Source organism: Homo sapiens, chromosome 16, assembly GCF_000001405.40.
Source record: "Homo sapiens chromosome 16, GRCh38.p14 Primary Assembly".
Classification (NCBI taxonomy): Eukaryota; Metazoa; Chordata; class Mammalia; order Primates; family Hominidae; genus Homo; species Homo sapiens.
This window is the reverse complement of record NC_000016.10, coordinates 29767332-29790643: the sequence shown is the minus strand read 5'-3', so window position 1 is coordinate 29790643 and position 23312 is coordinate 29767332. Positions and strand designations below refer to the sequence as shown.

Below are 23312 nucleotides of genomic sequence, written 5' to 3'. Positions count from 1 at the left end.
ACTATCCCGCCTTCCAGCGCTCGCCTCCGGGTCCCCAAGAAAAGGTTCCCCTGGTCAGGACGCATGCGCGCGCGTGGGCCGCGCAGCCGTTGATGTCTGGAAGCGCGCTGCGATACAAACCCCTACGCAGGGATGTTGGCGACGGTGGCCGCTGGGGGAGCTGCTCAGCGCCGCCCGGCACTGGGCTCCCTTTCCCTTTACTTTCTGCAGTTTCTTGCCTCCGTGGGTGGTTGGCGCGTCTGCGGAGCCAGGGTCGTTGTGTGGATCGTGGGACTGCAGCCCCAGCCAAAGGGCTATCACGTCTGGTCGGTTCTGTAGATCTGGGCCCCAGGGGCTGGACTCTGGGCAGTCACGTTGCAGTCGCTGCCTGCTGGGCCCAAGGCCACTGTAGGTCCCCTCGCGTCCGTGTCAGCCCAGGAGAGCAGCTTGGATGTTCCTGTCTTTATAACTTGGCACTCAGCACGTCGGCGAAGCGTGGAAAACGCTTAGTCTGTGATTCAGTCCCACTCACCCACGGTTCCGGTTCCCAGTCCTTAAGAGTACAGCAGTCCGTTGAGTAGCTCTCTGTCCTTTCTGAAGGGTTGGCTAGGGACGGTCATTCCACTTTTGAGCACCAGGTAGGTAGGGCCCAGGTTTAGACATTATGTTCCACCCTGTTGAACAACAAAACAAAACACGGGCCGGGCGCGGTGGCTCAGTCCTGTAATCCCAGCACTTTGGGAGGCTGAGGCGGGAGGCTCACCTGAGGTGAGGAGCTCGAGACCAGCCTGGCCAACATGGCGAAACCCCGTCTCTACTAAAAACACAAAAATTAGCCGGGGATGGTGGCACGCCTGTAGTCCTAGCTACTCGGGAGGCTGAGGCAGGAGAATCGCTTGAACCCGGGAGGTGTAGGTTGCAATGAGCCGAGATGGTGCCACCGCACTCCAGCCACGGCGCCAGAGTGAGACTCCGTCTCAAAACAAAAAACACAAATCTTAGATCAGTGTTTCTGAAACGTTTTGCCTTGGGATCCCACTACAGTTTTTAAAAATGAGGCCTCCAAAGATGTTTTGTGTATATGAGGGTTTTTGTTTTTTTGTTTTTGAGACGGGGTTTCACTTCCATCTCCCAGGCTAGAGTGCAGTGGCTCAATCTCGGTTCACTCCAACCTCTGCCTCTTGGGTTCAAGTGATTCTCCTGCCTCAGCCTCCCGAGTAGCTGGGATTACAGGTGTGCACCACCACGCTCAGCTAATTTTTGTATTTTTATGGAGACAGGGTTTCACCATGTTGGCCAGGCTGGTCTCAAACTCCTGACCTCAAGTGATCCACCCGCCTTGGCCTCCCAAAGTGCTGGGATTACAGGTGTGAACCACCAGGCCTGGCCGTATATACTGTGTGTGAAGTGAAACTAAATTAAAGTTGACATTAATGAATTTAAAAATTACAGTAAAAAACCCATAGACATAAAAAGGACATCTAAGTAGTGGTTGCCAGGGGATGGTGAGGGGCTGAGGAGCTGGCACTACAGCAATAGATATAACGAGTTTCTTTTGGGGGTGATGGAAATATTAAATATTTTGGAATGAAGTAGTGATGATGGCTGCGTAACGTAATAAACATACTAAAAACCAGAGAGGTGTGCACTTTTTTTTTTTGAGACATAGTCTCTCTCTGTTGCTCAGGCTGGAGTGCAGTGGCGCAATCTCAGCTCACCGTAACCTCCGCCTCCTGGGTTCAAGCAATTCTCCTGCCTCAGCCTCCCGAGTAGCTGGGATTACAGGCATGCACCACCGTGCATGGCTGATTTTGTGTTTTTAGTAGAGACGGGGTTTCTCCATGTTGGTCAGGCTGGTCTTGAACTCATGACCTCAGGTGATCCATCCGCCTCGGCCTCCCAAAGTGCTGGGATTACAGACGTGAGCTACCAAGCCCTGCCTAGACCTCCATCTCTTTTTTTTTTTGAGACGGAGTCTCGCTCTGTGGCCCAGGCCGGAGTGCAGTGGCGCCATCTCGGCTCACTGCAAGCTCCACCTCCCGGGTTCACGCCACTCTTCTGCCTCAGCCTCCCGAGTAGCTGGGACTACAGGCACCTGCCACCACGCCCGGCTAATTTTTTGTATTTTTAGTAGAGACGGGGTTTCACCGTGTTAGCCAGGATGGTCTTGATATCCTGACCTCGTGATCCACCCGCCTCGGCCTCCCAAAGTGCTGGGATTACAGGCGTGAGCCACTGTGCCTGGCCTACCTCCATCTCTTAAAAAATAAAATTAGCCAGGCATGGTGGCACACACCTATATTCCCAGCTACTTGGGAGGCTGAGGTGGGAGGATTGCTTAAGCCCAGGAGTTTGAGGCTGCAGTGAGCCGTGATGGTGCCACTGCACTCTGGCTTCAGTGACAGAGGGAGACCTTGTCTCAAAGACACACAAAAAAACTAGATTCTCATATCTGCTTCTGCATTCATGCTGTTGTGATGTCACATATAATATAGTATTTTGAATACTCCACTATATACTTGAGAAACAATGCAAGAGAAGTCAATTGGTATCTTAGTTTTATTATGAAAATAGTTTTGAACTTGTAGACCCACTGAAAGTGTCTCAGGGACTCCCAGAAGTCTCTGGACCATACTTTGAGAACATCTGACATTGGCAATTGGCAGTTTGGTCTTCCTTGCCTGTCAGAAAAGGCTGTTCAGTTTTCACATTTGTTGTCAACTCCAGATATTTGGTAAGAAACCTGCCAGAAATAGTGAAAAGAGCATAGATCAAGGAGATAGGGCTTCTATGTTTGAATAAACCATTTAGGTACAGGGCCTTGGTGCCAGGCTGCCCAGACCAGAGATTTAGCCTCTTTGTGCCTCCATTTCCTCAGATATTAAAAGGGAATAATGGTTGAAATACCTCCTAGGGTTGTTTTAAGGATCTGCATCTGGCTGGTAGAAATTAGGGTGGTTTGGCCAGGCGTGGTGGCTCATGCCTGTAATCTCAACACTTTGGGAGGCTGAGGCGGGCAGATCACCTGAAGTCAGGAGTTTGACACTAGCCTGGCCAACATGGGGAAACCCTGTCTCTACTAAAGACACAAAAATTACCCCGGCGTGGTGGCACACACCTGTAATCCCAGCTATTCAGGAGGCTGAGGCAGGAGAATCACTTGAACACAGGAGTTGGAGGTTGCAGTGAGCTGAGATTGCACCACTGCACTCCAGCCTGAGGGACAGAGCAAGACTCCATCTGAAAGAAAAAAAATTAGCCAGATGTGGTGGCATGTGCCTATAGTCCCAGCTACTTGGGAGACTGAGGCAGGAGGATCGCTTGAACCCAGGAAGTGGAGGTTGCAGTGAGCTGAGGTCATGCCTGTGCACTCCTGCTGGGATGACAGAGAAAGAAACAATTGATTTTTAAAAAATAACTTCCAGGCCGGGTGCAGTGGCTCACGCCTGTAATCTCAGCACTTTGGGAGGCTGAGGCAGGCAGATCATGAGGTCAGGAGATCGAGGCCATCCTGACTAACACGGTGAAACCCCGTCTCTACTAAAAATACAAAAAACTAGCTGGGCGTGGTGGCGGGTGCCTGTAGTTCCAGCTACTCGGAAGGCTGAGGCAGGAGAATGGCGTTAACTCGGGAGGCAGAGCTTGCAGTGAGCCGAGATGGCACCACTGCACTCCAGCCTGGGTGACAGTTGGAGACTCCTCAAAAAAAGGCTGCTCACGATGGCTCACGCCTGTAATCCCAGCACTTTAGGAGGCCGAGATGGGCGGATCACAAGGTCAGGAGATTGAGACCATCCTGGCTAACACGGTGAAACCCCGTCTCTACTAAAAATACAAAAAATTAGCCAGGTGTGGGGCGGGCGCCTGTAGTCCCAGCTACTCGGGAGGCTGAGGCAGAAGGATGGCGTGAACCCAGGAGGCGGAGCTTGCAGTGAGCCGAGATGGCGCCACTGCACTCCAGCCTGGGCGACAGAGTGAGACTCTGTCTCAAAAAAAAAAAAAAAAAAAAAAATTCCAAACTATGTCTTTAAAAGAAGCAAAGGAGGTCAGATGTAGTGGCTCATTCCTGTAATCCCAGCACTTTGGGAGGCTAAGGTGGGAGGATAGCTTGGGTCTAGGAGTCCAAGACCAGTCTGGGCAACCTAGTGAGACCCTTCTCTACAAAACATTTTAAAATTAGCCAAGTGTGGTGGCGCATGCCTGTACTCCCAGCTACTTGGGAAGTTGAGGTGGGAGGATCACTTGAGCCCAGGAGGCTAGGTTGTGGTGAGCGGAGATCATGCCGCTATTGTATTCCAGCCTGGGCAAAAGTAAAACATAGAGTTTGTGCCATAAAAGATAATTAGTGGGTCTAGGCCTGGCGCGGTGGCTCATGCCTGTAATCCCAGCACTTTGGGAGGCCGAGGCGGGCAGATCACGAGGTCAGGAGATCGAGACCATCCTGGCTAACACGGTGAAACCCCGTCTCTACTAAAAATACAACAAATTAGCCAGGCGTGGTGGCGGACGCCTGTAGTCCCAGCTACTCGGGAGGCTGAGACAGGAGAATGGCGTGAACCTGGGAGGCGGAGCTTGCAGTGATGCACTCCAGCCTGGGTGACAGAACGAGACTCCGTCTCAAAAAATAATAATAATAAAATAAAATAATAATAATAATAATTAGTGGGTGAGGCCGATGATTCTGTCCTTCAAATATGTGAAGATTAAATTAAGGTCATCTGGGACACAGCAGCAGTGATGGAGAAGAGAATGGGGGCTGGACGATAGAGGACCAGACCTGGAGGGTCTCGTGGAGAAGGGGTCCTCGAAGAGATAATGGAGCACCATGGGTGGCCAGGAAGCTATGCCAGTCTATCCCACGTGGACACCCTTTGCCTTCACTTTTATGTACTTTGATATAACAGCCGCATTGGCCGGGGCGGGGCACTACCAAAAGGCAGGACTCAGCCTGGGGTCCTGCTTCCCAGCCCCCAGGTAGCTCTCTGTAGAGGGTCCTTCCCTGCAGGCAATGAGCTCCCCGTTTGTAGCGGCTGTGCATGGGTTAATTGATGTCTTCATTGGAATGGTGAGGCTGGGTCTGCAGAAGAGGAAAGAAAAGAGTATGTTAATTAAAACTGTCAACTAAAGAAAAACTCAGGCTTTTAAAGAATTAGTTTTATTCACAAATCTTACCTAGAATGGCAACCCGTGAGCGACTTTGAGAGAGTTTCTGTTAGACTGCTCCAGCCCGTAGTTTGCGTGCGGGTGCTGGTGGGTCTGCCCTGCAGAGAGTTGCGTTAGCAACCATCCCTCCCTCCAGCGCTCGCCTCCGGGTCCCTAAGGAAAACGTTCCCCTGGTCAGGACGCTGGAGCGCGCATGGGCCTCGCAGCCATTGACGACTGGACGCGAGCTGCGGTACAAACCCCGACGCGGAGACGTTGGCGACAGTGGCCGCTGGGGGAGCTGCTGAGTGCCGCCCAGCACTGGGCTCCCTTTCCCTTCACTCTCGGCAGTTTCTTGCCTCCGTGGGTGGTTGGCGCGTCTGCGGAGCCAGAGTCGTTGTGTGGATCGTGGGACTGCAGCCCCAGCCAAAGGGCTGTCACGTCTGGTCGGTTCCGTCACCCACGGTTCCGGTTTCCAGTCGTTAAGGGTCCAGCAGTCTGTTAAGTAGCTCCCTGTCCCTTCTGGAAGCTTGGCCAGGGAAGGTCATTCCACCTTTGAGTTCCAGGTAGGTAAGGCCCTGGTTTAGACATTATGTTCCACTTGATTGAACAACAAAACAAAACAAAACACAAATCTTAGATCAGTGTTTCTCAAACGTTTAGCCTTGGGATCCCATTAGTCTTAAAAAATGAGGCCTCTAGCCTGGGCGTGGTGGCTCACGCCTGTAATCCCAGCACTTTGGGAGGCCGAGGCAGGTGCATCACGAGGTCAGGCGTTCAAGACCAGCCTGGCCAACATAGTGAAAACCCCTCTCTACTAAAAATAAAAAAATTAGCAGGGTGTGGTGGCAGGCGCCTGTATTCCCAGCTACTGGGGAGGCTGGGGCAGGAGAATCGCTTGAATCTGGGAGGTGGATGTTGCAGTGAGCCGAGATCACGCCACTGCACTCCAGCCTGGGCAACAGTGCAAGACTCCATCTCAAAAAAAAAAAAAAAAACAAAAATGAGGCCTCTAAAGATGCTCCGTATATATGGGTTTTGATCCATATTTACTGTATTCAAAATGAAACCAAATTAAAGTAACATCAGTGAACTTTCAAATTACAATAGCAAACCCACAGACATAGAAAGTACACCTGAGTGGTGGTTGCCAGGGGATGACAAGGGGTTGAGTAATTGGCACTACAGTGAACAGATGTAACTGCTTTCTTTTGGGGGTGGTGGAAGTGTTCTGGAATGAGGTAGTGGTAATGGTTGTACAATACAGTGAATATACTAAAAACCATGAAAGTGTACACTTTTAAAATGGCATTTTTTTCTTCTTATTAGAGACAAGGTCTCACTGTGTCACCCAGGTCGGAGTGCACTGGTACAATCATAGCTCATGGCAACCTCAAACTCCAAGGTTCAAGTGATCCTCCTGCCTTGGCCTCTGGAAGTGTTGGAATTACAGCTGTGAGCCATGGTGTTGGGTATCAGAAGAACCAGCCCCCAATATTTCAGCGTAGGTTCTTTCTATTTTCCCTAAGTGTTGGCCGGTCTGAGAAATAAAAAGAAAGAGTACAAAGATAGGAATTTTACAGCTGGGCTGGTGGGGGGTGACATCACATATCGGTAGGTCCATAATGCCCCACCTGAGCCGCAAAACCAGCAAGTTTTTATTAAGGATTTCAAAAGGGGAGGGGGTGTACGAACAGGGAGTAGGTCACAGAGATCACATGCTTCTGAGGCCAGTAAAGATCACAAGGCAAAGGGCAAAGCAAAGATCACAAGACAAAGGGCAAAATTAGAATTACTGATGAGGGCCTATGTTCAGCTGTGCATGTATTGTCTTGATAAACATCTTAACAGAAGACAGGGTTCGAGAGCAGAGAACCGGTCTGACCAAAATTTACCAGGTTGGAATTTCCCAATCCTAGTAAGCCTGAGGGTACTGCAGGAGACCGGGTCATATTTCAGTCCTTATCTCAACAGCATAAGACAGACACTCCCAGAGTGGCCATTTGTAAACCTCCTCCAAGGAATGCAATTCTTTTCCTAGGGTCTTAATATTTAATATTCCTTGCTAGGAAAAGAATTTAGCGATATCTCTCCTACTCGCACGTCCATTTATAGGCTCTCTGCAAGAAGAAAAATATGGCTCTTTTTGCCCGACCCCGCAGGCAGTCAGACCTTATGGTTATCTTCCCTTTTTGTTCCATTTTGTTAGGATATGACATATGTGACTCCATTTTGATACTGATAACATTCTTTTTTTTTTTTTTTTAGATGAAATCTCGCTCTGTCATCCAGGCTGGAGTGCAGTCGCACTATCTCAACTCATTGTAACCTCTGCACTTGTTCCCTAAAATCACTGTTATTCTGTTCTTTTTTAAGGTGCACTGATTTCATATTGTTCAAATGCACATTTACAATCAGATTTCATATTGTTCAAACACACATGTTTTACAATCAATTTGTTAGTTAATGCAATCATCACAGGGTCCTGAGGTGACGTACATTCTCAGCTTATGAAGATAACAGGATTGAGATTAAAATAAAGACAGGCATAAGAAATTATAAGAGTATTATTTGGGAACTGATAAATGTTCATGAAATCTTCACAATTTATGTTTAGTGATTGCAGTAAAGACAGGCATAAGAAAGTATAAAAGTATTAATTTTGGGAACTGGTAAATGTCCATGAAATCTTCACAATTTATGTTCCTCAGCTGTGGCTCCAGCCAGTCCCTCCGTTCGGGGTCCCTGACTTCCCGCAACAGTTGGGCCACCATATCTGTTTATAGAACCAATTGGATGGAGATTTGTGATAAGGGAATCCTTCCTCCTCACCACAGTGCCCCTGCCAAAGAAGAGGCTGGGGCTCTGCAGCTGCTGAAGTCACTGGATAGGCTGGGATAGATAGTCCCAATGCAAGCCAATGGCATTGATTAGGGAATCACTGATGAATCAGAGCATGATGCTGTGTTGCGTTTCAGGTGGGACTTGAACTTTTCAGGACCTGCATACACACTGAGACCTTCAAAGTGGTAACAGGGATGACAGATTTCTTGCCAGTCCCACTGCACATGAAGGCTGGTTGAGCCCTAGAAGATCCTACGGGGAACTTCAACTCCTCATTTTGCCTACAAACAGGTTGCTATGTTGCCCGGGCTGGCCTTAAACTCCTGGGCTCAAGCGACCCTCCTGGGATTACAAGTGTGCTGGGATTACAGGTGTGAGCCCCCTTGCCCAACTACCATATCCTTTTCTTGAGCCAACTGCATGGAGGTTAATGATAGAGAAGTCCTCATTCCCCACCACAGGGCCCCTGCCATAGAGGAGGCTGGGGCTCCGTGGCGGCTGCATTCACTGGGGCAGACATATTGCTAGCCCCGTATTGGCAGTGATGAGGGATCCAGCACTGTAACTGATGAGTTAAAGGACAGCATTTGGGTGCAAGAAGATGGCACTAAAACTGGTGCCTGTGTTTCCCAAGAGGCAGAGCAGCTCTTGTCTGTCACAAAGACCAGCTTCCTCAGGTAGTGTGTGAACCTGCCTGATCTGATGCCCAACATGATGGGTGATCCTTTCACCTGAACTTGGTCCACAGACTGCCTCTCCCTGCCATTGTCTGCTGATTCTCCACCCAGTCCTCCATGGTGTTATCAGGTGCAATGCTTAATTTAGGTGTCAGGTTGGTTCCATTTTGTTAGGATGTGACATATGTTACTCCATTTTGATACTGATAACATTCCTTTTTTTTTTAGATGGAGTCTCACTCTGTCATCCAGGCTGGGGTGCAGTTGTGCTGTCTCAACTCATTGTAACCTCTGCCTCCAGCATTCAAGTGATTCTCATGCCTCAGCCTCCCAAGTAGCTGGGATTACAGGTGACTGCCACCACACCTGGCTAATTTTTGTATTTTTAGTAGAGACAGGGTTTTACCATGTTGGAGGCTTGTCTCCAACTCCTGACCTCAAATGATCTGCCTGCCTTGGCCTCCCAAAGTGCTGGGATTACAGGTGTGAGCACTGTGCCCAGCCAGATATTGATAACTTTTACAAAACTAACGTATACCTTCACTCATTTTAATTTTCTTCCCTTCTTAAAATTTCTTTCCCCAACTACATAACCATCCTCTTCTATCTCTTTTGAGACCTCACCAGTGATCTCTTTTCAGAATCTCCAGCCTCTTTCTCTTTCTTCCTCTTTATCATGTGAACATGCTTGTGACTCTCCTGTCTAGGATTTTAAAAAGACACAAAACCCTTTTTCCTTACACCCCCGAAAACTGACTTGCCTATTTCTGGCAAACCACAGCCAAACTTCTTGAAACACTCGATTCTTGCTGCCTGTGTCTTCTCACCTCCCATTCATTCCTTAATGAGTTCAGCCTAGTGTCAGCCTCCCGCAGTCCACTGTAACCTTCTGATGGCTAAAGCCTAAGAGCATAGTGTGGGCAGGGTTTCCACTGCTGAGAAGGTGGTGGCTTCCTGAGGAAGGAGGAATCCCAGATCTGAGAGGGCTTAGCAGGACACCGGGGCTCATGGGTAGAGGTGAGGAGGAACTGGGCCTGGTAACAGGGCAGGGTCCTCGGGCACAGACTTCAGCTAAGTTTCAGGAGTCAGGTGGGTTCTGGGAAAGAACAAAGGCTAATGGTCCTGGCCACCCACACACAGCAAGTGAGTTCACCACTTTCTCAAGGGGAGGACCAGGGGTGAGGAGAGCTGGAGAGTGGGACATCTGGGGTTTTGGTGTAAGCCACAACTAGGCCTTGCCCTCAGACCCATGACTCCAGTTTGGATCAATGTTCCAAGGAGCTGTCCTTGAAGAGCGTTGATGCAAGCCAGAATCTCATCTCCTCTTGATAAATTATAGCACAAAGCCCAGGATTCTTACATACCTCTCCCTCATCTTCCCATCTTCCAGACAGATGTCCAAAGCCAGCCAGAAGTGAGATTTGCACGTCCCCGGCTAAGTCAGGAGGCAGATATCCCAGCCACAGATGCCCCCACACAGACTAGCCTTAACCATATTTTTTTTATTGAGCCATTTGGATGGGGGTTAGTGATAAGGGAGTTCTTACTCCTCATCACAGTGCCCCTGCCAAGGAGAGGAGGCTCAGCATCTGCTGCAGCTACTGGGGTAAACATCCCAGTGCAGGCCAATGGCATCGATGAGAGAACCAGACCGGCCACTGATGAAGCGGAGCACGGTGTTGGGGTGCAAGGGGACGGCATTGAAACTTGTGCCACTGTCTTTCCCAAAAGACAGATAGCGGCCCTTGTCTGTCACAAATACCAGCTTCTTCAGGTACCACTTGTACTTCCCAGAAACCTGGATCACTGATTCCCCAGGGTGCAGAAAGATCTCCTCCAGGTCTCCGTTGCGACCACCCACATAGTCGCTCCACACCTTGCCATAGCGCACCTGAAGACTGAGGAAGAGGGGAGGAAGGAAGGAGAAAGAAAGGTGATGATAGGGATGAGAGGTCTCTGGCTAGTCCTACAGACTGTGAAGCCTGGGTGAACCCTGGAAGATCCTACAGGGAACTTCAACTCATTTTGCCAACAAAGAGACTCTGTCACCCAGGCTGGAGTGCAGTGGCATGATCTTGGCTCACTGCAGCCTCAACATCCTGGGCTCAGGCAATCCTCCCGCCTCTCCCTCCTGAGTAGTTGAGGCTACAGGTACTCACCACCATGCCTGGCTAATTTTTTTGTTTTTCTTCGGTAGAGATGGGGTCTTGGTACCTGGAGCATGGTTTAAATCCCTGGCATCCCTGGCATCTTGCCCAGGCTGAGCTAGAACTCCTGGCCTCAAGCGATCTGCCTCTGCCTCCCAAAGCATTGTAATGACAGATGTGAGCCACCGCGCCCAGCCAGGAATTCAAAGAATCTTACCCTACGATGTAGTATGTGTTGACTCGGACCCGGAGGGCGGTGATGGGGCCGTCCAACTGGTTGCCAGAATGAGAGAATCGCTTTCCACCACCACCTCCATACTCTCCACTATAGGAGGAAGACCTGGCCTGAACTGGAGGGGCAAGCAGGAGTTGGAGGGAGAAATCTTCCAGGAGTTCAGTTTCTCTGCATCACCCCTGTTCCTCCGACAACTCAGCTCCCCACCCCAAGCCAACCTCCAAAAGCCTTGGCCAACAGCAGTGCCCAAGGCTGCCTTCCCAAGTCCCCAATACCAGGCTCCTGGTATCTCACTTACTGGCATTGCCAGAGGCTGAGGCACAGAGAAGGGCTAGGAGAGCGACTGTCAACATTCTGGGGCTGGAGTGGGAAGAAAAGAGCAAATGAAGATTCACCTTCTTCCTTGTTGACTTGATTGACCCAGGCACTCCTGACCTGCAGCTCAGACCAAGCCTTCTTCGTCCTTCAACTTAGACCTAGCAGACCCAGTCTTGAGCTTAGAAAGGACTGTCCATAGCCTGTAGTCCTGTTCCTCTCTGATGCTACCTTCAATGTCCCTGACCCCTCCAGCTCTCCCTGGTCTGGCTGTAGCCAAGCCCTCCTCTTTTTCTCTCAGGCCTGAAGATGAACTCTAACTATCTGGATTAAGCCTTATTCCATCCTGGCACAAAGCAGAAAAGTTTTCTGAAGTCAGCCAAGCCCAGGTACATTTGGGTTGGTATGGCCATAGCCAGGAAACGAGTTTTCTAAGGAGGGAGTAGAGGACCTCTCCCAAGCAAAGAGATGGCTGAGTTTACTGAGCCCAGAGGCTGAGCAAAGAAAGCCTCATCATCTGTGGTGAATTGGCCTGGATTATGGGGCACCTGGAGCATGGTTTAAATCCCTGGCATCCACCTGGTCTCAAGGAAAGAAGCATTTTAGAGTTGCCTCTATGTTACCTGGGGAGCAAAGTTGGTGACAGAAGGAACTGTGCCAGCACCAGTATCCAAGCAGTGCTGGTGGAACTAGGACAGACAGAGAAGTTGCAGAAGGAGTCGGGACCAGCTCAAGATATTAGACCCCAGGTGCCTGGTCTATGTGTCACTATTCTTTTCTCCACTAACACACATCTGGCCATTTCTATTCTCCTGAACATCCCAGGTGTCCCCAGTCCTTCAGCAGAGACCTAGACAGCTTTGCACCTAAGATTACTGCAGACCCAGAAGCGCCAATTAACTCAAGTCTTTCCTGCCATTCCTTCCAGGCATCCTCTTCGCCAGCTCAGATTTGAATTCCCCCCCAACTCAGATTCAGGCATCTCTGTCACCCCTCACCTGACAGTTTCAGATGCAAAGCAGCCCCCTGGAAACTTCCAGATGTTTTATACCAGGTCCAAGCCCTCCTCCTGCCCTTTATTGTGTGAACCTCACCTCCTGAGCAAACATGAGCAACCTCTTCGGATCAGGTGTCAGGCAGGGTCTGGAACACCTTATCCTGCCTCTACCCCATAGTCAACAGATACTACAGCATAGGGTAAGATTCTCTGAGTTCCTGGCTGGGCATGGTGACTCACACCTGTCATTACAATGCTTTGGGAGGCAGAGGCAGATCGCTTGAGGCCAGGAGTTCTAGCTCAGCCTGGGCAAGAGTGTGAGACCCCATCTCTACCAAAACAAAAAACAAAAACAAAAATTAGCCGGGCATGGTGACGAGCACCTGTAGCCTCAACTAATCAGGAGGGAGGTAGGGAAGATCGCCTGAGCCCAGGACGTTGAGGCTGCAGTGAGACAAGATCACGCCACTGCACTCCAGCCTGGGTGACAGGTGGCAAGCTGGAGTCCACTCTGGGCCAAGTGCCGTATACCAGGAGAAACATAGTAAACTTAAGGTCACCACCAGCAGCTCTAGGTGGGCAAAGTAGCTTATCACCTCTAGGCTTAGTAGGTGCTCTCACCTGAAATCTGCCATCTGTCAGGACAAACAGAGCCCTTCCCAGGCATTCGAAATGTGGATTCTCCCAGAAGGGAATATATTCCCAAAATCTTATACTTACGAGTGCTGACTATTTGCCAGACATTTTTTTCTTTCCCTTTTCTAATATTATGAAAAATCCAAACACATATAAAAGTTTAAAGAATTGTACAGTGGCTGGGCCCAGTGGCTCACACCCATAATCCAACACTTTGGGAAGCTGAGGCAGCTGGATCACCTGAGGTCAGGAGTTTGAGACCAGCTTGGCCAACATGGCGAAACCCCATCTGTACTAAAAATACAAAAAGTAGCTGGGTGTGATGGCAGGTGCCTGTGATCCCAGCTAGTCAGGAGACTGAGGCAGGAGAATCACTTGAACCTGAGGGGCAGAGGTTGCAGTGAGCTGAGATCACTCCACTGCACTCTAGCCTGGGCGACAGAGTGAGACTCCATCTCAAAAAAAAAAAAAAAAAAAACAAAAGAATCGTATAGCAAGACTGGGTGCAGTGGCTCATGCCTGTAATCCCGGCACTTTGAGAGGTCAAAGCAGGAGGACTGCTTAAGCTCAGGAGTTCAGGACCAACATGGGCAACATAGGGAGATCTCGTCTCTACAAAAAATAAAACAATTAGCCAGGCATGGTGGTGCACACCTGTGATCCCAGCTAGTCAGGAGGCTGAGGCAAGAGGATCACTTGAGCTGAGGAGGTCAAAGTTGCAGTGAGCCATGATCGAAACATCAAGTCTCAAAAAAAGGAAAAAAAAAAAAAGAATTGTATAGTGGACACTTATATAACCACTGTATAGATTCTACTATGGTTAATATTTTGCTGTAATTGCTTTTTTTTCTTTCTTCTTTTTGGAGACACAGTCTTGCTCTATCCCTCAGGCTGGAGGGCAGTGGCGCGATCTCGGCTCACTATAATCTCTGCTTCCCAGGTTCAAGCGATTCTCCTGCCTCAGCCTCCCGAGTAGCTGGGATTACAGGCATGCGCCACCACGCCCAGCTAATTTTTGTAATTTTAGTAGAGACAGGGTTTCGCCATGTTTGCCAGGATGGTCTCGATCTCTTGACCTCGTGATCCGCCCACCTCGGCCTCCCAAAGTGCTGGGATTACAGGCGTGAGCCACTGTGCCTGGCCTGCATTTTTTTTTCTATCCACTCATCTATTTATCCCCAATATGCCAAACACTTCCCAAACCATTTCTCTCTGAGAAGGATGACTGGGGCTGCAGGTGCACAGTGAACACGTGCCTATTGCCCCACAGGAAACAGAGTCAGTCCAATGGGAAGTGCAAAGCTAAGGATCCGAAGGTCTACAGGTGTTCCTCTGGGGGTAATTCTGGGCTTTGGGCCCTCAAGTCTCCTGGGTACCATGGCTGAATCTTCCTGGGGCTGTAGGCCGCCCAGGGCCATTGCTTCTTTCTTAGGTCTGTAACACCCCCAGGGGTGATGTCATAGTTTTTTTTTTCTCTGTATGCCCTTCATTTTCAGGACTGATTCCTCTCTGCCTAAAATCCCTAAGACTGACTCCAGGGACCTAGTGCCTGACCCCTCCTGGACTGGCCCTCTGACCTCTCTGAATCAGGAGGTCCAAGAAGAGGGAAGGATGGAGGACCAGAAGGGGCTGGAATAAGTGCTCTCAATTATAAATGACTAGTCAGGCATTCAGAGCACCCCACCCCTCACAGGTTTACCATCTGGGGCCAATGACTCATCCCAGATAGCAAAGGCAGTCCCGCCTGAGGATCTGGAAATGGGGGGAATCCAGGGTGGTGAGTTCTGGGAGTGAAACAGAACAGCAGCCAAAGATTCCACGTTCACTCCTCCCTTCCCCTCTCTTTTTCTCCAAGGTCAGTGTCAGCACATCCTGCTACTATAACTTTCACCTCATTCCAGCCATTTTGTTTTGTGTCTCTCTCCCTCTCTCTTTCCTGGTGACTCTCCTTCCCTTTATGTCTTCATCTTTCCCTGCTCTGGGGAGGATTTTTCTTTCTTTCTTTCTTTCTTTTTTTTTAGATGGAGTCTTGCTCTGTTGCCAGGCTGGAGTGCAGTGGCGCGATCTCGACTCACTTCAACCTCTGCCTCCAGGGTTCAAGCAATTCCCCTGCCTCAGCCTCCTGAGTAGCTGGGACTACAGGTGCGCACCACCACACCCAGATAATTTTTTCTATTTTACTAGAGATGGGGTTTCACCATGTTGGCCAGGATGGTCTCAATCTCCTGACCTTGTGATCCACCTTCCTCAGCCCCCCAAAGTGCTAGGATTATAGGCGTGAGCCACCACACCCGGCCTTTTTTTCTTTTTTCTTTTTTTTTTTGAGATAGATTCTCGCTCTGTCACCCAGGCTGGAGTGCAGTGGCCTGATCTCAGCTTACTGCAACCTCTGCCTCCAGGGTTCAAGCGATTCTCCTGCTTCAGCCTCCGGAGTAGCTAGAATTACAGGCACCCACCACCATGCCTGGCTAATTTTTGTATTTTTAGTAAAGATGGGGTTTCACCATGTTGGCCAGGCTGGTCTTGAAATGACCTCAGGTGATCCACCCACCTTGGCCTCCCAAAGTGCGGGAATTACAGGCGTGAGCCACCATGCCTGGCCTAAGGGGTTTTTTTTTATATTCCTTCCCTCCATGCCTTTTTCCTTCTGCCTCTTCTTTCCTTGTCCCTACATCTCTCCCAAGCTCTCTCTCTAGCTCTTTCTCCTCTCTAATCCTTGCTTGTCTTCTTCTGTTTAGGGACAGACCACCCCTAGTCTGTGACCAAACACAGGAAGTCAAAGATGGCAGCTCAGAGAGGTCGAGATGGGCACCTTGGAAGAACGCCCTCATGTTCCCAGGCATGACACATCCAGGACCCTCAGGACAGAGGCACCCACATTTGCCACAGCTCCACTCCGTTGCACCCACCCTGCCTGTATGGAGATCCAGCATCTCCTCCATTGCCGAAGACTGCTTCTTGTTCCACTATAGCAAGTCCTCAGTCTCCAGAGTGCAAGAGATGCTTTCCTATGATGGGAGGGGTCTCAAGGCCCATTTTCTGTCCATCCCAGAAACAAGGAAAGCTGCCCTATCGCTAATGCTGGCACCTCTAGGGTGCACTCTCATGTGGGGACTGAGGCAGAAGGAAGAACGTGAAGGCAGTGAGACACCAGGCCCCCATCTCTGCTTCTGCCTTATCAGATCCTGTTTGAGCCACTTTACATTTAACCCACGTGCCAGCTGTGGGCCTACCTGCCCCTTTTAAACTCTAGATGAAGTTGCCTTAAACCTCATCCCGTTCCCGGGCCTGCACGCGTGAATGTCCAAAGCCCTTCCAGAGCTTTCTGCTACTAAACAGAAAGCAACTCAACACATGTTTTTTTGTTTGTTTTTGTTTTTTGTTTGCTTGTTTTTTTTTTTTTTTTCAAGATGGGGTCTTGCTCTGCTGCCCTTTCTTGGCTCACTGCAACTTCCACCTCCCGGGTTCAGGCGATTCTCCTGCCTCAGCCTCCCAAGTAGCTGGGATTACAGACATCCACCACCACGCCTTGCTAATTTTTGTATTTTTAGTAGAGACAGGGTTTCACCATGTTGGCCAGACTTGTTTCTAACTCTGACCTCTTGATCCACCCTCAGCCTCCCAAAGTGCTAGGATTACAGGCGTGAGCCACTGTGCCCGGCTCAACACGTTTATCAAGCATCTCTACATTGGAGGTACCATTCTAGACGCTGAAGAGACAGCAATGAAGAAAAGAGTCAACAGCCGACCTCAAGGAGCTGTAGGGCCAAGGGAAAGCTTCCTTTCTGCTCTCTAGCCCTATAAAGGCTCCCCAAAAAGGAACTGACAATTGGCAAATTAATAGGAGAAAAATGTGTACAAAATTTATGTCACATGTACAAGCATAAGGAAACCACAGGAGAACGATGACCTAATAACCCAACGTGGTCCAGATGCTTATGTAGCTGCCTTCTTCACAGGGGAGGGGAAATGGGGGTGCAGCAATGTTGAGAGGTAGTATGTGATTTTGTGGGGAAATGAATGGGGCCAGGTGCAGTGGCTCACACACCTGTAATCCCAGCACTTTGGGAGCCCGAGGCGGATGGATCACTTGAGGTCAGGAGTTTGAGATCAGCCTGACCAACATGGTGAAACCCCGTCTCTACTAAAAAATACAAAAATCAGCCAGGTGTTGTGGCACATGCATGTAATCCCAGCTACTTGGGAGGCTGAGGCAGGAGAATCGCTTGAACCAGGGAAGTGGAGGTTGCAGTGAGCCGAGATTGCACCATTGCACTCCAGCCTGGGCAACAAAAGCAGAACTCCGTTTCAAAAAAATAGCCGGGCGCAGTGGCTCACGCCTGTAATCCCAGCACTTTGGGAGGCCGAGGCGGGCGGATCATGAGGTCAGGAGATCAAGGCCATCCTGGCTAATGGTGAAACCCCATCTCTACTAAAAACACACACAAAAAAATTAGCTGGGCACGGTAGCGGGTGCCTGTAATCCCAGCTACTCGGGAGGCTGAGGCAGAAGAATCGCTTGAACCCGGGAGGCAGAGGCTGCAGTGAGCAGAGATCACACCATTGCAGTCCAGCCTGGGCCACAGAGCGAGACTCCGTCTCAAAAAAAAAAAAAAAATTAGCTGGGCATAGTGGTGCACACCTGCAGTCTCAGTGCTTGGAGGACTGAGGTCAGAGGATTGCTTGAGCCTAGGATTTTGAGGCTGCAGAGAGTTATGATCATGCCATTGCACTCCAGCCTGGGTGACAGAGCGAGACTCCGTCTCAAAATAAATAAATAAATAAACAAAAAAAAAATATTTTAAAAGGAGAAATGAATGGACCCGAAAGATAGGAATTAACTTGTAAATGATTCTCTTTGGAATTTGAATAAGCCCAAGAGACTGACTATCTTGTGAAAAAGTCTGTCTATGTTTGGTCACATGCTTCAGTCTTATTTTCTGCCATAATGAGGTTATCTGCCATAGATAACAAGCTGAAAGTGTGATGAATTTGGAAATAATGAAGAGAGGAGGGTGGCTGGAGGGAAATGAGGGAAGCCGACCTGTGAGGCCTGGGCAGCAGCCAGTGGGCAGAGTGTGCAGAGCCTGAGAGGTGTGGTCAGGAGTTTGGCTTTTTTTTTTTTTTGGAGATGGAGTCTCACTCTGTCACCAGGCTGGAGTGCAGTGATGCAATCTCAGCTCACTGCAACCTCTGACTCCCTGGTTCAAGCGATTCTCCTGCCACAGCCTCCCAAGTAGGTGAGATTACAGGCATGCGCCACCACGCACAGCTAATTTTTGTATTTTTAGTAGAGACGGGGTTTCGCCATGTTGGCAGGATGGTCTCGAACTCCTGACCTCGTGATCCGCCTGCCTCGGCCTCCCAAAGTGCTGGGATTACAGGTGTGTGAGCCACCGCGCCCGGCCTGGAGGAGTTTGGCTTCTTTTCTCACAGTGAGGGGAGACATGGAAGGGTTTTGAACAGAGGGGTACATGCTCATATTTGCATTTTAGAAGGATTGCTCTCTCCTGATTTTGATAAAGTGGAGGAGGGACTTGGGCAGGGTAAGAGTGGAGACAGGCATGGCAGATGTGGTGTGACCTTCTCCCCTCCCATCTAGAATTCCCCTGAAAGCTCCTCCCTCTCTCAGGTGAAGCAGCTTTGCCCTCTTTTCAAAGTTTTGATGCAATTTCAGACCTGTGGTGGGGATCTGCCTCTCCACCCCCATCCAGAAGGTTTCCGACACCTGTGGCTCATGCCTGTAATCCTAGCAATTTGGGAGGCCAAGGCAGGACGATAGCTTGAGGCCAGGAGTTTGAGACCAGCCTGGTCATCATAGCAAGACCCCCCCCACCCATCCCCACAAAAACTAAAAAACTAATTTAAAAAAATTATTTGAGGGCTGAGCACTGTGGCTCATACCTATAATCCCAGCACTTTGGGAGGGCAAGGCAGGCAGATCTTTGAGGTCAGAAGTTCGAGACCAGCGTGACCAACATGGTGAAACCTTGTCTCTACTAAAAATACAAAAATTATCCGGGCATGGTGGTGGATGCCTGTAATCTGCTGCAGCTGCTTGGGAGGATGAGGCAGAAGAATGGCTTGAACCCGGGAGGCAGAGGCTGCAGTGAGCAGAGATCGCACCATTGCACTCCAGCCTGGGCCACAGAGCGAGACTCCATCTCAAAAAAAAAAAAAAATTAGCTGGGCATAGTGGTACACACCTGCAGTCTCAGTACTTGGAGGACTGAGGTCGGAGGATTGCTTGAGCCCAGGAGTTTGAGGCTGTAGAGAGTTATGATCATGCCATTGCACTCCAGCCTGGGCAACAGAGTAAGACCGTGTCTCAAATAAATAAATAAATAAAATAAAATAATAAAAATGTTTTGGCCAGTTGCGGTGGCTCACGCTTGTAATCCCAGCACTTTGGGAAGCTGAGGCTGGCAGATCACCTGAGGTCAAGAGTTTGAGACCAGCCTGGCAAACATGGTGAAACCCTGTCTCTACTAAAAATACAAAAATTAGCCAGACATGGTGGCAGGCACCTATAATCCCAGCTACTTGGGAGGCTGAGGCAGGAGAATCGCTTGAACCCAGGAGGTGGAGTTTGCAGTGAGCTAAGATCGCGCCATCGTACTCCAGCCTGGGTGACAAGAGTGAAACTCCGTCTCAAAAAAAAAAAAAAAAAGTTTCAAAATATATTTCCAAACAGTGGGAGATCTGTTTCCTGTTAAGAAAAAAACATTATCTGCTTCCTATTTATACACTGGGCCTTGGTGCACGTTTTCATTTGGAAGAAGGGTCTGACGGCATGAGCGCTGCTTTTCTGTTCACTCTTAGTTGTTCCAATGAATAAAGTAATGGGCAGAAGTGACTTCACCAGGTTGCCAAGGGGAGTCCTGCTCTCCGCCCACAGTGACCTGCAATTGCTAATCTTCAACTCTGCCCATGCACACTCCAGCTGCCTAAAATGCTCTCCTCCTTCTGCCCACCTGGCAACCTCCAGGTTATTCAGAGGGGACCACCACCAGCCTGCACCACCACCCACCCTTCTCACAGGAAGGCCTCAGCTCTCTTCTCCTCCCAGCTCCTCCTCTTCAAATAGAATTCATCATTCCTTTCTTTGGCTTCTGTGTGTTTCCTACATTACTCTATTATGGTTCTAATTACCCTGCACTATAATTTATATGTTTACATGTAAGCCTTCTCCACTAAACTGAGAGCTCATTCTCAGGCAGGGGCCATGACTCAGTCATCTCCAAATTCCCAGCATCTGGCATCACACCTGGTACAGAGTAAGCATCCGTGGATGGTTATCCAATGAATACAGCACCTTGGGCCCAGGCTACAACGAGACTTCTATGAACCGTTCCTCCTTTGTCTTTCCTCACCTCTCTGTCTCTCTTCTTGCAGGGTTTGTATTGGGTTTTCTTTGCTTTCTTATTCACTTTTATTTATTTTTTTCTTTTTTGAGACAGGGTCTCACTCTGTACCTCAGGCTGGAGTGCAGTGCCACTATTACAGCTCACTGTAGCCTCAACCTCCTGGGCTCTATTGATCCTTCCACCTCAGCCTCCCAAGAATCTGGGACCACCCCCCAGCAAATTTTTGCATTTTTACTTTTTGTAGAGATGAAGTCTCACTGTGTTGCTCAGGCTGGTCTTGAACTCCTGGGCTCAAGTGATCCTCCCACGTCAGCCTCCCAAGTGCTGGGAATACGGATGTGAGCCACCTTGGTTGGGAAACCTCAGGGCAGCTTGGGTGGCCACAGTAGTATGAGAGAGGCTGCAGGGGCTCAGATTCAGGGTAGGTAAGGGTACATTGTTAATCATTTTTTAAGCCAGAAACCTATAGCCACGTACCAAGCATTTGTGGACAGAATGTTATAAAGAGATGTTAAGTAAAGTTATGGGAGGCTGTTTTTCTGGCCTGAGCTCCTGAACTAGACCCCAAAAGACCAAACCAAAATGGAGTCACCCATGCTAAATGCTACATAATCAAACTCAAACTTCAAAGAAAGCAGAGAGATCCCAAAACAGACCAGGTTTTTCCTCCTGAAAACAAATTCCAGCATAATAAGAAGCTCCCCTCTGCTCCAACCCATCCCAAAAAAGTAACCTGGAATAACGAGGTTTTTCCTTATTGCTCTATTTCCTTATTCCCACCTTACAAAACCCACTGCTATGTTTCCTAGTGGGATTTTAGACCAAAAAAGTCCATTCACGGTGGTGACAGAGTGACATCAATGCCTAAAGCTTTTTATCAATCTCTCAAAATTGAAAGTTGGCCAAAAAGAGATAATTGGTTTTCTTTGTTTTCGTTTGTGTTTTTGAGACTGAGCTTAGCTCTATCGCCCAGGATGGAGTGCAGCGGCACAATCTTGGCTCACTGCAACCTCCACCTCCTGGGTTCAATCCATTCTCGTGCCTCAGCCTCCCAAGTAGCTGGGATTATAGGCGCCTGCCACAATACCCAGCTAAATTTTGTATTTTTAGTACAGATGGGGTTTCACTATGTTGGCCAGGCTGGTCTCGAACTCCTAACCTCAGGTGATCCGCCTGCCTTGGCCCTCCAAAGTGCTGAGATTACAGGCATGAGCCACCGCGCATGGCCAAGAGAATTGTTAAATTAAGTTTAGCCTAAAGCTGCCTCCTTACATATTTTAATTTAGGCCTAAAGGTTTCTCCTCACCTAGTGGCCTAACTGGACATGTAAATAGACTATAACCTTCTCTTATACCAACCACAGAGTTTTGGCCCATCACAAGTGGCCAACTGTTCAAACCATGTTCAAATAAGGCAAGTGCCACACCTTAACCAATCTGGCTATTTCTGTACCTCATCTCCATTTTCTGTATGTCACTTTCCTTTTTCCGTCTATAATTATTATCCAACCATATGGCAGCCCCAGAGTTTCTCTGAACCTATGCTGGTTCAGGGAGCTGCCTGATTTGTGAATTGTTCTTTGCTCAATTAAACTCTCTTAAATTTAATTTGTCTTAAGTTTTAATTTTAACAGATACATGGGTTTAACACCTGGCTCCAGCCCTTACCTACCATGTAACCCACTGAGCTTCAGTTTTTTTTTTGTTTTTTGTTTTTTTTTTGAGATGGAGTCTCACTCTGTTGCCCAGGCTGGAGGGCAGTGGCGTGATCTCGGCTTACTGCAACCCCCGCCTCCCTGGTTCAAGCTATTCTTCTGCCTCAGCCTCCCGAGTAGCTGGGACTACAGGCAAGTGCCACCACATCTGGCTAATTTTTGTATTTTTAGTAGAGACGAGGTTTCACCATATTGGCCAGGCTGGTCTCCAACTCCTAATCTGGTGAACCACCTGCCTCGGCCTCCCAAAGTGCTGGGATTAAGGGCATGAGCCACTGTGCCCGGCCTGGAGCTTCAGTTTTTTCATCTGTAAATTGGAGATAATAAGACCCACCAATTTTTTTCAACCCCCTGGTACAGGCCTGGCACGTGGTAGGTAGTAAGTGAAATTTTTATTCTCCCTTCAGATTTTCACGAAATACTCTGGTCTTTCTTTTCGGCCTCTTTCAGATAAAGATCTGGACAGCCTTTATCTTACTCATCTACCATTAGCTATATTTCATGGGTTAACTTGAGTAGATACTGGAGATCTTGTCAAATGCATCATAAGACTGGAAGAAGAATTTTATGTCCATTGATTTGGACAACTGAAGCTCCTGGTTTTAACTTTCTGTTTTTTGTTTGTTCGTTTGTTTTTATTGTGGTGTAATTTACATGGTAACTTTGTTTAACTTTGGAGTTTCTGCTTCACAATTTCCACATCTCCTACTGAATTGCTTTGCAACTGCAATGCTTTGGTTTTGACCTTTGTTTAATTTATTTGCCCTTTGTTCCCTTTATTAGTTTTCCTCCTCAGAAGAGTGATCACTGTCTAGAACATACGACAATGTGATATTCTAAGGCATCAACTTAAAATCTGGAGATCTGGCCAGGCATGGTGGCTCATGCCTGTAATCCCAGCACTTCAGGAGGCCAAGGCAGGCAGATCACTTGAGGTCAGGAATTTGAGACCAGCCTGCCAACATGGTGAAACCCTGTCTCTACCAAAAATACAAAAATTAGCTGCGCATGGTGGCGCATGCCTGTAGTCCCAGCTACTCGGGAGGCTGAGGCAGGAGAATGGCTTGCACCTGGGAGGCGGAGGTTGCAGTGAGCCAAGATTTTGCCACTGCACTCTAGTCTGGGGGACAGAGTTGAGACTCCATCTCAGGAAAAACAAACAAACAAACAAACACAGATATCTACAAATTTGGAGAGGAGACATTATTTCCTATCAGGGGTTGCGGTGGTAGGGTGGCCATCTTGACAAGCTGGGAAGT

The 23312-nt window shown here is 48.9% G+C and overlaps 1 protein-coding gene and 2 long non-coding RNA genes across 3 annotated transcripts, besides 4 other annotated features; 1 reads left to right on the top strand and 2 right to left on the bottom strand.

Annotated features, from left to right (window-relative positions):
* Window positions 83-482: an enhancer, noted in NCBI's record as "active region_10675". NCBI's record gives its function as "activates an Ori minimal core promoter by ATAC-STARR-seq in GM12878 lymphoblastoid cells {active_cell/tissue: GM12878}" and the evidence as "EXISTENCE:reporter gene assay evidence [ECO:0000049][PMID:35858748]".
* Window positions 2521-3131, bottom strand: LOC105371167 (uncharacterized). Its single transcript, XR_950983.1, has 2 exons — window positions 3098-3131; window positions 2521-2722 (listed from the first exon to the last, which is right to left on the bottom strand). It is a non-coding gene; the product is annotated as an uncharacterized LOC105371167 (long non-coding RNA).
* Window positions 5273-5362: an enhancer, noted in NCBI's record as "active region_10674". NCBI's record gives its function as "activates an Ori minimal core promoter by ATAC-STARR-seq in GM12878 lymphoblastoid cells {active_cell/tissue: GM12878}" and the evidence as "EXISTENCE:reporter gene assay evidence [ECO:0000049][PMID:35858748]".
* On the top strand, window positions 5311-7677 carry LOC124903675 (uncharacterized). The gene is made up of 2 exons (XR_007065048.1): window positions 5311-5687; window positions 7390-7677. It is a non-coding gene; the product is annotated as an uncharacterized LOC124903675 (long non-coding RNA).
* Window positions 6219-6358: a silencer, noted in NCBI's record as "silent region_7333". NCBI's record gives its function as "represses an Ori minimal core promoter by ATAC-STARR-seq in GM12878 lymphoblastoid cells {active_cell/tissue: GM12878}" and the evidence as "EXISTENCE:reporter gene assay evidence [ECO:0000049][PMID:35858748]".
* On the bottom strand, window positions 7671-12388 carry ZG16 (zymogen granule protein 16). Its single transcript, NM_152338.4, has 4 exons — window positions 12338-12388; window positions 11323-11384; window positions 11007-11139; window positions 7671-10540 (listed from the first exon to the last, which is right to left on the bottom strand). Exons 2-4 carry the CDS (start codon window positions 11375-11377, stop codon window positions 10225-10227), a joined length of 504 nt encoding a protein of 167 aa, NP_689551.3. The 5' UTR covers window positions 11378-11384; window positions 12338-12388; the 3' UTR covers window positions 7671-10224.
* Window positions 14582-14876: an enhancer, noted in NCBI's record as "tiled region #1439; K562 Activating DNase unmatched - State 8:EnhW". NCBI's record gives its function as "activates a minimal TATA promoter and a strong SV40 promoter by Sharpr-MPRA in K562 cells {active_cell/tissue: K562}" and the evidence as "EXISTENCE:reporter gene assay evidence [ECO:0000049][PMID:27701403]".